The 12685-nt window shown below is 42.9% G+C and overlaps 1 protein-coding gene across 2 annotated transcripts in view; it reads right to left on the bottom strand.

The window, feature by feature from the left end:
* The window catches only part of SASH1 (SAM and SH3 domain containing 1), a 358577-nt gene extending 350152 nt beyond the window's left edge, over positions 1 to 8425 (bottom strand). For both annotated transcript variants that reach the window (XM_017010599.2, XM_024446384.2), the window contains exon 1: positions 8268 to 8425. In XM_017010599.2, the coding sequence (XP_016866088.1) occupies positions 8268 to 8312 (45 nt within the window). In that variant the 5' untranslated portion in view covers positions 8313 to 8425. The remainder of the gene's footprint in view (positions 1 to 8267) is intronic.

Genomic DNA, 12685 nt, shown 5'->3' with positions numbered 1-12685 from the left:
CACAAGTACACAATCCCTGCTCAGCAACCCACCACCCTTTATGTTCAAGCACATCCCCATATCTTTTATTTTTGTGGCCTCCCCTGGCAGGACCCACTCCATCTGTTCTCCTTTATTCTCAGGCTGTTTGTCTCAATGTCACTTCCACTGGTCCTGGTTCAGATCCTTGGTATCACGAACACCCTCCAGGTCTTCGACAGGCCCCAGGAGCCTTCTGGGCACCCCAGAGCAGTCTCTTCTCTAAGGAAAGCATTCTGGATTACTGCAGCTGTTCCATGGGTGATACGGTTTTGAGCTCTAGGACAGCAATTCTCAAAGTGTGCCCCGAGATCAGCAGTATCGGCATTGCCTGGCAACTTAGAAAAATGCAAATTTGGGGGTCCCACCCTAGGCCACTGAATCAGAAACTCTGGGGGGAGATGCACAGTGGTGGGCCCAGCAATCTGGGTTTTAATCGGCCTTCCAGGAGATTCCACTGCAGGGACAAGCTTGAGAATCACTGCTCTATTCAGTTGGTCCCACCCCGGATGGCAATGTACTTTGGTTTGCCTGTATCCCTCTTAAATTTCACTCCCTAAAACTAAAACTTAACCCATTTAGAGGAACACAGGGGCATTATGCAGACAAAATTAGATAATACCTAGCACAGTTTCTAGCACATGCTAAATTTGCCATACATGTTAATTATTATGATCGTGTCATCATTAATATTATTACGTCAGTGTGGTCCAAGGTCAAATGACCATTTTATGTACAGTAACCTTCTACTATCACTCTAAGAGTCAAATATCTCTATGGTGTTTTTATCTCTCATTTACAGCTCACATATTTACGTGGTAGATGGAAATGTAGACTCTATATTGAATACAACAGCATAAGTGATAGGGCTGAAACTTCCTCACCAGTGGAGAGGAAGTGATCTTGTCACATCAGCCAAAAGTTCTAAGAGCTTGAGGAGGAGGAAGAAAGTTTCCCCAGAATAAAAGAAAGCAGTCACAGAGGTATAATTTCTTTGAGGAGGACACGGGTGGAGTAGTGAAAGGAAAGATCAAAAATTAATTTTAAAGCTTCCCTATATTTCAAAGAACACAGAGAATCTCTCTTCTATGTCTGTCCTTCAATTGTAAATGCCCTGTAAAATCTCCATCCTTCTTCCACTTTAGACAAAAGGCTATTTTGAGTGTTACTATGCAAAAAGTAGAAATGCCAGCCTGTGCGAGGTCTGTTCAAATTCACTCAGTAAAGAATTCTTTCATTAAAATAACTACTAAAGGAGAGCCAAGAGGTTGACCTTCACATTGTTCAAGAGCCACACCAATCACCTCGCCTTGGCACGCACTTGGATCTCTTGCCAGGATTTCAGCAGGTGTTTTCTGAATTGCATCCAGAATCACACTGGACAGAAACACAGCAGAGGTCGCCGAAGCCACATCAATAATGATAAGCAGATGATCGCGGCCCCCTCCCGCTCGCTCTGTGAGCTGCAGAGATCACAGCACTGCTGTCTGTGGGAGGCAGCGCAGCCTTGAGCTTCTAGCCAACAACCAATGTCATTTTAACATATTCAAGACAGACTAGCTGAACCAATGTTTCAGGCTAGAGTTCTAAAGACACAAAATGAGGTTAGGAGAGGAAAGTGAACAGGAAAATATACATGAATATTTTTTATTAGTAACTTTCATTTAGAAATTTGGGACATCTTCAATACAAATGCTTAAAATGCTGTAGTCACAACTGCTATATTTGCAAGTCCACTTTTTTATTTTTTAACCCAACAAAGTATAATCAAAGGAAAAAGCTAATTCTGAAGTATGTTCCGTCTTGGCATTGTAAGCAGCCAGTGCAATCACTTAAAATACAATTCCATCAAGGGTCGCAGATGAGAAATACTACTATTCCGGGTTTTCTCAGATTCTGGCTCTCAGGGTGACCTATTCAATATCCCTCAGTTGATATTCAGAATATCAGTTTTGACTGATGAGCATCTTCACACATGCTGGTCTTTGCCTTTCTCCAGGTTGCCTTCTCTTTTCTTTCCTTTCCTTTCCTTTTCTTTTCTTTCTTTCCTCCTTCTCTCTCTCTTTTTCTTTCTCTCTCTCTCTCCTTCCTTCCTTCCTTTCTTTTTCTTCCTTTTTCTCTCTTTCTTTCTCCTCTCTCTCTCACTCTCCCTTCCTTTCTTTCTCTTTTCTTTTTCCCAAGACAAAGTCTTGCTCTGTCACCCAGGCTGGAGTGCAGTGGTATGCTCAGAGTTCATCACAGCTCTAACTCCCGGACTGAAGCAGTCCTCCTGCCTCCGCCTGCCGAATAGCTGGAATTACAGGTGTGCACCATCACATCTAGTTAATTTTTAAACTTTTTATAGAGATGGGGTCTCACTATATTGCTCAGGCTGGTTTCAAACTCCTGGCCCCAATTACCAACCTTTTGGATCCTGTATTTGAGAAACAACTACAGTCCTTAAAAGGAGAGAAAAGGGAGTGAGGCCTTATAGCCAAGCTCAGTTTTTTTTTTTTTTTTCTTGAGACGGAGTCTTGCACTGTTGCCCAGGCTGGAGTGCAATGGCAAGATTTCAACTCACTGCAACCTCTGCCTCTCGGGTTCAAGTGATTCTCCTGCTCAGCCTCCTGAGTAGCTGGGCACCCACCACCATACTCAGTTAATTTTTGTATTTTTAGTAGAGACAGTGTTTTGCCATGTTGGCCAAGCTGGTCTCGAACTCCTGACCTCAGGTGATCCGCCTGCCTTGGCCTCTCAAAGTGCTGGGATTACAGGTGTGAGCCACCACGACTGGCCAGCAAAGCTCAGTTCTCATCCCCGTACTGATATCAGCCTCTTGGGAAATACTGAAAAAGTCATTTAACTTCTCTTTGCCTCAATCTCCCTTCTTTGTAAAATGAGGGATTAGTTAAATCAGGGGTCACAGCTGAAATATTCACAGGCCCCGATAAGTACTCAAAAGGTAGGTAAGGAGGAGAATACTTGCCCTGTCTACAGGGGACAGCTATACTCAGCACTAGCTGATAATTGTCATCTTTTGATTCTGTTTCAAACAAAACAAAACAAAACAAAACTGTCCCTGGATTATTATGTGAAAATGTCTTAATTTTAAATATTTGCTAAAAATGTAAATAAAACAACAACAATTATAAAAACCATATGTAGGTCAAACAGAACATGTTGATGATGCTTTAGAGTTCTTGCCTTCTGTGATTCAAAATTTCTCCTGAAACCTGTCTAAGACCTGTCAGTCTAAACATACAACATCTTGATTTTCATCATTTGTGTTCCAGTTGTGGTGGCTTGCTTCCCCTTTCAAAACATCAGATGGACTGGATACCTCTTTTTCCTGTATGTAGCACACACTTTATTTATGTCAAATATAACTATGTACATGCCTAGAAAAGTTAATCATCTTGACCTGAAGTATGCTGCCAAGTAGCCAAATATCAGTGGGCGGCTACCTCAATATCAATAAAGACAGAAGGGAGAGATGGGAGAAGCCCACAAACTAGAAATAAAACTAAGTCAGGATATTAGTCCATTTTCACACTGCTAGAAAGAAATATTCAAGACTGGATCATTTATAAAGGAAAGAAGTTTAATTGACTCACAGTTTCACATGGCTGGGGAGAACTCAGGAAACTTACAATCATGGCGGAAGGCAAAGGAGAGGCAAGGACCTTCTTCACATGGCAACAAGAGAGGGGAGTGAGTGAAGGGGAAGAATGCCCTATAAAACCATCAGACAGGCACGGCAGCTCATGCCTGTGATTGCAGCACTTTGGGAGGCTGAGGTGGGCCAATCACTTGAGGTTAGGAGTGTGAGACCAGCTTGGCCAACTTGGTGAAGCCCTGTTTCTACTAAAAATACAACAATGAGCCAGGCGTGGTGTTGGGCAGCTATAATTCCAGCTACTCTGGATGCTGAGGCAGGAGACTCACTAGAACATGGGAGGCGGAGGTTGCAGTGAGCCGAGATAGCACCACTGCACTCCAGCCTGGGTGACAGAGCCAGACTCCATCTCAAAACAAAACAAAAACAAAACCCACCAGATCTTGTGAGAACTCACTCATTATCAGGGGAACAGCATGAGGAAAACCACCCTATGATCCAATCACCTACCTCCCTCGATACATGGGGATTACAATTAGAGATAAGACTCAGGTGGGGACACAGAGCCAAACCATATTGGTCAGTGAGGAAGAAAGAGGAAAAATGTTTCCTGTTCATCAAACAGTAGCTGAGGAACAGATCCTAGGAAAATGACCCTCAGGAGCATGAGTCCAGCTGTGAGGAAGGAGAAGCTTTGAGGGAGCAGAATGCTCCAGGTGGCAGGAGGGTGGCCTGCAAGAGAAATTTTGGCCTGAACTCTCAGGATGGGGACTGATACCTGGAGAATTTTCTAGAAAGGACTTGGTTAACTCAAGGGACAGGGAGGGAAGTATGAGACAAGTTTGCTAGTCTTAGGAATAAATCTATGGAAAATAATTAGACTTCTCTCTTATCCTGAGCAAAAATAGACTGTTGTCTGCAGAAGATATCCATTAGGTGCTGACTTGATGTAGTTTGTATCCTACATAATCCTGTCAGCTGACTGGTGTTTCATGTTTTTCCTTAAAGATATGTTTTTCTCCTTACTCCACTTGTACCACACTGGTCTGGGACCACTGCCATCTCATGTGTAGGTCCTGTAACAATAGCTTTCTTACCAGCCTCTAGAATCTTCAGAATCCAATCTACCTTGCCAGACTCATTTTCCCTAAATGCTGCCTTTATCAAGCCATTCTACTGTTCTGACTCCTTCCACGACTCCCATGTCCTACCCAGTCTAAGATCCTCTGTTTGGTCTTCAAGACTCTCCAGGATCTGCTCCATTCTCTATCTTTCCCCAGTCCCTCACATCCATTTCCTGTTCAATCACTCAGCAGTATCCTGTCACCAGAGGCGTTTCTGCCTCCCAGCATTTACTCGACACCATCATCTCCTTCATCTGGATGCCTATCCCTCTCCTTTCCAAATTCTATCCATCAATTTCCATCATGAAACCTTCTTTGACTCTTCTGGGCCTCACAGACTTCCCTGACTTCAGACTTGCTATTCCACTTAATTTCTGAACCATGCCGTCTGCCACTCAATTATATATTATTCTGTTCTCTAATTGTTTCATGGATGTTTGTCTTATCTCACAATTATATTTTGACCTTCCTGAGTCAAGATCACGTCTTCTTCCTCTGTATTCTCCATAGAAACAGCGGATTTAGTCATAGAGGCTGGGCTCGATGAGCACTTGCCTGATGCTTCAATGAGGCAGGTATTCAGATGAGCTCACTGGGAGAAAGAGGATGGTGGCAAAGAAAGATGGCTGGGGTCTCTTGGGAGGAGATGATCAGACAGGACTATGCAGAGAGTTACCACTGTCCACTTTCCCCAAATAATCATGCATGGCCATCATGCCCTCTGCTACCTGCACTTTCATATATGGTTCGTGCTTGTTGAAGCTGTGCTAGGTTGAATTGTTTCACTGGGTTGTATGCAAGGGGAGACCTAATCTACCAACTGTCCTGGACCAGCACATAGCCTTGAGACTTAAAGCTGCACTTGGAGGCAAGCTTCTGAATTTGAGCTCCCAGGGGTTACTATTATCCTCTTTGAGAGAAGCATGATCCAGTTATGTCTGACATGAAAGTGAACTTCTAAGTGACTCCAATATTCTGCAAGAGTGAAGACATTCAAGAACTCAGATGCACTAAGAGCAAAAAATGATGAGAGAACTCTTGATGGAAGAACCACTCTGATCCTCCTGGTGGAGAAGGCTGAGAGACAATGTCCAACATTCTGTAGGAAATCACCAGAGCCTTAGATTTCTCACTCCCAGCCCACTCATTAACCAGAGAGCACCAAGCCTGTTATTAAATCTCTATGTCTCACAATCTACACAGTTCAGATAACAACCTGCTGACCACAGGAGAGGTTGGGTGCATTAATTATGATAGAAAGCCACTGTGGAAATATACCAGGCCCTCCAAAATCCATTTCTGTTGGTTCACACAGGTTGAGTAGCCATTGGTTCATAGTAAATTGCAGTCCCTCCTGCCCTGGGCTGTGCCTGTCACTGGGTGTCTGTGCTGGCAGGTAATCTGTCCATGACACAGACTAAAAGGCGCGTAAGAGAGGCTAATGAGTTGCCACCAGCTCCCCGAGGCACCTTCTGGGGCTGCTGACTTAGCTCTCTCACGGGAAGCCACCACCCACCTGCCAGGGGAACTGGTGACACATGTAGTGGCAGTGCTGGAGCCGGGGTGAAAGAGAGTTTCAAAATGAGGGGAGAATTTTCAAAATGGCAGTTTGGACAACCATGATTTAACAAAACAAGAGGCTACCTTGAATTTGCATGGTAGCTGCTTATAAGTCCGATAGTTCTCTCATGTGACTATCTGATTTGGAAAACTCCTTGAGCAGTTCTGGGTGGACAGGACCAATGCCTACGTCTCAGTCCTTTGTGTATTTCCTGAGCATCGGCCTCTGCCCAGTCCCCATAGGTTTAGGACTCTGGAGCCAGTCAGAGCCTGCTGCTACATCAGCTCCCAGCTCCTTGGAGCACAGATGTTCCTCTCTGCCTGGAGGACATGCAGAAAAAACCTTTTTAATTTTTCTATAGTTTGTCAAAATGAACTCTTAATAAAAATAAAGACATTTAAAAAAACCTAAGTATTGTAAGAGCATAGAAATGATTGAGTTTCCAGAATACAATATATTGATGTGCTTGCTAAGTAAACGAGTGAAATAATTGGATAAACAAAAGTAAATGTATTAAATGTTTGAATATTGATCTAAAAATTGTGCTTTTTAGTTATGTTTAGAAATAATAATACATTTTTTTACCCTCCTTTCTCCAAAGACATCACACAGAATGGCTTACCAGCTCAGATATAGCATTATAATTTAAGACATCAGAGATACTGAACATTCTTTTTTTGTTTTGTTTTGAGACGGAGTCTCGCTCTGTCGCCCAGGCTGGAGTGCAGTGGCGCGATCTCGGCTCACTGCCAGCTCCGCCTCCTAGGTTCACGCCATTTTCCTGCCTCAGCCTCCCGAGTAGCTGGGACTACAGGAGCCCGCCCCACAACCGGCTAATTTTTAGTATTTTTAGTAGAGACGGGGTTTCACCGTGTTAACCAGGATGGTCTCGATCTCCTGACCTCGTGATCCTCCCGCCTTGGCCTCCCAAAGTGCTGGGATTACAGGCACGAGCCACCGCACCTGGACCTGAACATTCTTTAATGAATAGAAGTGACTACTTTAGAAACCAATGTTTCAGTATGCTCACAGAATAAACTTAGTGTCATAAAAGATGGTAGTATAGGTCATACTGCCAGGGAAAAGACAGATGAGTCACATCGTTGCCACGAAAAGATAATTTGTTATACCATCCAATCTAAAAATTACCTGTTTGCAACAGAATTTTCTATTTCCAATGAAGCTGAAATTTACATTAGAAAGGAGAAAACAAAATGAAATTTTATGCTATGAGACAGTGAAGGATAACTAAAAACAAAAAACCCACTGGAATGGGGGGTGGGGTCTGTGATCTTGTAGCCAGACTATGGGTTGTTTGGATAGAGGGACTTCAGTTTACTCCACTATAAAATGACATGATCATCTAGAATCACCAAAGTCAGGGAATCTCTGCATTCTTTGATGCATTCAAGACTGTACCAAGTCATCTAAAGTAAACTCAGCAGTTCTTGGTCACATAAAGGGAAAATGGCAGGTACGAATATGTTCAGTTCAGAAATCACAAAGGTTAGTCTTAGACATTAGAATCCTCCTTTATTACACCCTTCTGATCATGTTTATGTATACACACCTTAGAGAAAATCTTAAAAGAGGTACAGTTAAAGAAAACCAAAAGTAAAAATCCAACACAGAGTTCCAAGAAATGCTTCATTTATGTTAAAAATCTACCTTAGAATAATTCCTTTCCACTAGTGAACCATATTGCTTCCACAAAGTCATAAAGCCTTACATGCCCATAGCTGTTAGTATTCTTCATCAATAGAATTAGAAAAAGTTCCTGCCAAACAATTCATTCAAAGCCATTTATCACTAACAAAATTTGATATGTAGAAGGCACGTTTCACTTAAAGTAATAAGCAAGAGTACAATCCTTTGATTATAAATTCCCCTTTCATCTTATTTTATAAAAAGCCACAAGGAAAATGCCCAGCATGATGTCCTTGATATTTAAACACTTTATTCAACTTACCATTAGTTTGCTCCAAAACTCAGCTTCCCTTGTAAAATGCTCCATAGTGAAGGGATAAATTTCTTGTTCTGCCTTGTCAAATGTGTCACTTGTGCTGCTCAAGTGACTGAGCACAGGGAAGCAAACATTTTAGCCAAGCCACTTTCATAATATTGACTGTTGCATTCTCTCATAGCTGGGAGTCTTGGGAGAAATGGAATTTACATATGTGGAGGTAAGAAGGGTGTGGGCATTTCTCACAGTTATGATTCAAAATCGAGATATGTCTCATTCAAGAAGATAATAATATAAATCAAAGAAGAAAAGTATCCCCTAGCATTACTGCCACTTATGACAAGGCAACTGACACTGCCATGTGCACAGGCGCCACGCCTCAGTCATCATGCCAACAATAATCCTTCAGTGGGTGGTGACGTTTCCTTCTGGCATTTTTTTTTGACTCTAGTAATTATAAATCTCTCAGCTCACTTTAAGGTGTGTTCGGTACACAAGAATGGACACCTGGAATGCAAGTAGAAGTGCAAGCTCAGGAAGGCAACTTCTGGCAATCCTGCAGGCAAAATTAACCAAAGTTGGCTACCAAGTGATTCATGCTCCGTGCTACTTTGTTAGAACAGGTCAATTAGGATTTTAAACAGCCATATAAAAATATAGGTGCTTATAATATTCTCACTTTTTTCTGAAAAGAGGCAGGAGAAGATAGAACGTCCTCAAAATATCCTTGAGAGCTGGATCTGTGGTTATCATCTCAGGCACAACTCATCTTCATCCGTGCTGATTAATGATACTCAAAAGAAACATTCTTATAAACAGAGAAGTCTAACGCTCCTACCCACCATTCCTGCAAGTGGAACAAAAATGGAAAGGTAGAACCCAGATGAAGCCTGATGGGAGAGACCTGGAAGAATTCTGGTCCTTTCTTTCTGTGGACTTTACACTTTCAATGAACGTTTCTCGGACATTTGGATCCAATGAAATTGCGAAAGGTTATGAAGAAAAGAAAAACTCAAATGCAAAAACTGCTTTTACCCTTTAATAACCCTTCTCCTGAGTGTTCTAACCACATCTCCCTTCCTTTGCCAGTTCCTAAGTCCACAGGCCTTACTGTGTACTGGCCCTTTGTAGCACAACATAACTGCGGTCAAATGCTGAGCTTTACCTCCAAAGCCTGGAGTGGAAAATCAGAAGCCAACATCATATTGTTCCAATGTGGAATTCACCACTTGGACAGTTTTTCTCCTGCAGGGAGAGTCCATCCCTCCCACATCTACACATGAGTAGGGCTTTCTAAAATGTTTAGTTTTATAAAATTTTACCCAGGAAAACAGTTATGTCTACTGCATTTTCTCTAGTCCCTGGCTATGTCAAATTAGTATTAGCTTTGCCAGATTAACTGCTTAAATGCACGAAAACAATTATTTACAAACCAAGAGACCCAGAAGAATGCAAACCTGGTCAAAAAACAGTAACTTTTCAAGAGGAAATATATGATTTTGCTGGGGAGATATCTAAAAGTCCTTGTTGACTTTCCTTCCTCAGGAGCCTGGGGAGGGCTACCCTTAGCTTAACCACTTCATTAACCTCTGGGCCTTCAGAACCTGTTGTACGAGTCCTGCCTCATAACCGAGTCCACCTCTGTGCTGGTGTCTGTGACTTGCTGAGTCACTTTTGCATACTCTGCAACTCTTCCAAATAGGTGAAACAACTATTTAGGTCTGGCAGGGAGTTTTCTTCTTTCCTATTGGTGAAATCTCATGTTCTATCTGGCTTAACATTCATTTCACTGAGTACAGGCACATGTACTTTTACAAAGATATACTTTTGAAAAGCTACAATACCTCCATGATTCTAAATTGAGTCATATTTTTGGAAAACTCAAGGACATCTTGATACTTAAAGGAATCCCTGGCATATCCACTTGTAAGCTTTTACAACTTTTGCAAAACCACTTGCCAAATGAGTGTTTTACAAGTGTGGGATTTTATAGACTGTGTTTTACTAAATTGAGGGACACCAGCTTAGCCCATGTGGCCTATGACGAACTCAGCTAAGGTCATTGGAGCACAAAAGTGGCTCTACAGGTAAATACTGATTCTTTTCCAGAGAGAGTTATTGAAGTTTTTTAGGCCAGGCACTGTGGCTCACGCTTGTAATCCCAGCACTTTGGGAGGCCGAGGCGGGTGGATCACTTGAGGTCAGGAGTTCGAAACCAGCCTGGCCAACATGGTGAAACCCCATCTCCACAAAAATACAAAAAAAAAAAAATAGCCAGGCATGGTGGCATCCGCCTGTACTCCCAGCTACTTGGGAGGCTGAGACAGGAGAATCGCTTGAACCCAGGAGACAGAGGTTGCTGTGAGCCAAGATAGTGCCATTTGCACTCCAGCCTGGGCAACAGAGCAAGACTTCATCTCAAAAAAAAAAAAAAAAAAAAGTCTTTTTGAGTATTAGTGACTTTTACTTGTGTGCAGACAATTTACAGGAAAAAGGATGCAAAATCAATTTACATTTTCTAACAAATTAAAATGATTTTAAGAGCAATCTGTAAAGGGTGAGTCAGTGGTGCCTTGAAAATGAACCTTTAACCTTCCTGCCCCTTTCTTACAAAACCAAGGCATTGAAAACCCAAAGTTTGGCTGGGTGTGGTGGCTCACATCTGTAATCCCAGCACTTTGGGAGGCCAAGTCGGGTGGATCAGAAGGTCAGGAGATTGAGACCATCTTGGTCAACACGGTGAAACCCCGTCTCTACTAAAATACAAAAAAAAATTAGCCGGGCGTGGCGGCCCATGCCTGTAGTCCCAACTACTTGGGAGGCTGAGGCAGGGGAATTGCTTGAACCAGGAGGCAGAGGCTGCAGTGAGCCGAGATCGTGCCATTGCACTCCAGCCTGGCAATAGAGTGAGACTCCGTCTCAAAAAAAAAAAAATAAAATAAAATAAAAAAAGAAACCCCAAGTTTCTTCTCTTTGCCCGATGTTGATTCAATTTCTTGAAGAGCAGGCTAGATGCTCCTGAGGAATGCAAAGTGCTATGTTTATCACTACCATACATATTAGCAACAGGGTTCGGAGGTTTTAATTTAGAGTTTTTCCCCCTTTTTCTCCTTCTGTGTATTTTTCTCCTTTTCCTATGTCTCTCCATGCCTCCGCGCCTTAGTATGGTAGAAAACAGACCTAGCGTGCAAGGCTTCCTGGTGTTTTCTAAAAGCCTGATTTCCAAAGGGGAGATGGAATTTGAGGAAAGAATGTCTCTGTGAAACAAGCCATGGTGGGTGTGGTGGTGCTTTCATGTAGGAAAACACTTCCCCTGGTCTAGGAGGAGGGCGAGGTGCAAAGGTCGTAGAGAAGCATGGCTCCCCGGCTTTCTTCTGGGAGGCAGAAGACCCTAGGAAGGAAGACTTAAGGGATGTCACAGGAAGAGAAGTGATGGGACTGGGATTCACAGCCTCCACAAAGATTCTCCTACTTGCAGAGGTCATGGAGGAAGCAGAGAGCTGCTGGGCATCAAAGGGGCCACTGTGGTCTGGGACAGTGGGGTGTGCTGGTGAGACCATAGTCAAGGTGGTTTGCCTTACTGGGTATTGTATAAGCTTCCTTAAATCTGGTGCAGCTCTGGGAAGGAAAGGAGAGCTCAGCAATGACAAAAATGAAGAACAGCTAGGGGCTCACAGTGGCTTTAAAACAAATATAAATGTTTGCGGACAAAGATTCATACCGGGTACTCATTCTGGTGCCAAACACTGGGGTGAGGCCAATTTTTTGCTCAGTTTTTTGAGGAGTAGGCAGGCAGAGTCATGTCCCTAGCATTATAACTAGAGAACCAGAGTGTCCTACCAGACAGTGCTGTGTGTAACTTTACCCCCAGACTCAAGGTCATCCAGAAGTCTTTGCGGAGTACCTTGACTCTACCACTGGGATCCAAGGTGTGGAGTTTACTGCTGTTGTTTCCTGACCCTGAAGAGTTAAGAGGCAGAGGATGAAACAACAGATTGTGAAATTTCTGAATTAGAAGAGATTATCACGTTAATTTTGATTTTGGCTTTTGAACTGTAAATGACAGACAGCACATCCTTACCAAATAAAATCCTATGGCAGAAAAAAAGATGCATTTAGTCCATATGTGGTGGCTCATGCCTGTAATCCCAGCACTTTGGGAGGCCAAGGCGGGTGGATGGCCTGAGGTCAGGAGTTCGAGACCAGCCTGGGCAACATGGCAAAACCTCATTTCTACTAAAAATACAAAAATTAGCCAGGCATGGTGGTGGGCACCTAGGAGGCTGAGGCAGGAGAGTCACTTGAACCTGGGAGGCAGAGGTTGCAGTGAGCTGGGATCGTGCCACTGCACTCCAGCCTGGGTGACAGAGTGAGACTCCGTCTCAAAATAAATAAATAAATAAATAAATAAATAAATAAATAAA

The sequence above is a fragment of the Homo sapiens genome, chromosome 6 (assembly GCF_000001405.40).
Source record: "Homo sapiens chromosome 6, GRCh38.p14 Primary Assembly".
NCBI lineage: Eukaryota > Metazoa > Chordata > Mammalia > Primates > Hominidae > Homo > Homo sapiens.
This window is presented reverse-complemented; position numbering and strand designations above follow the sequence as displayed.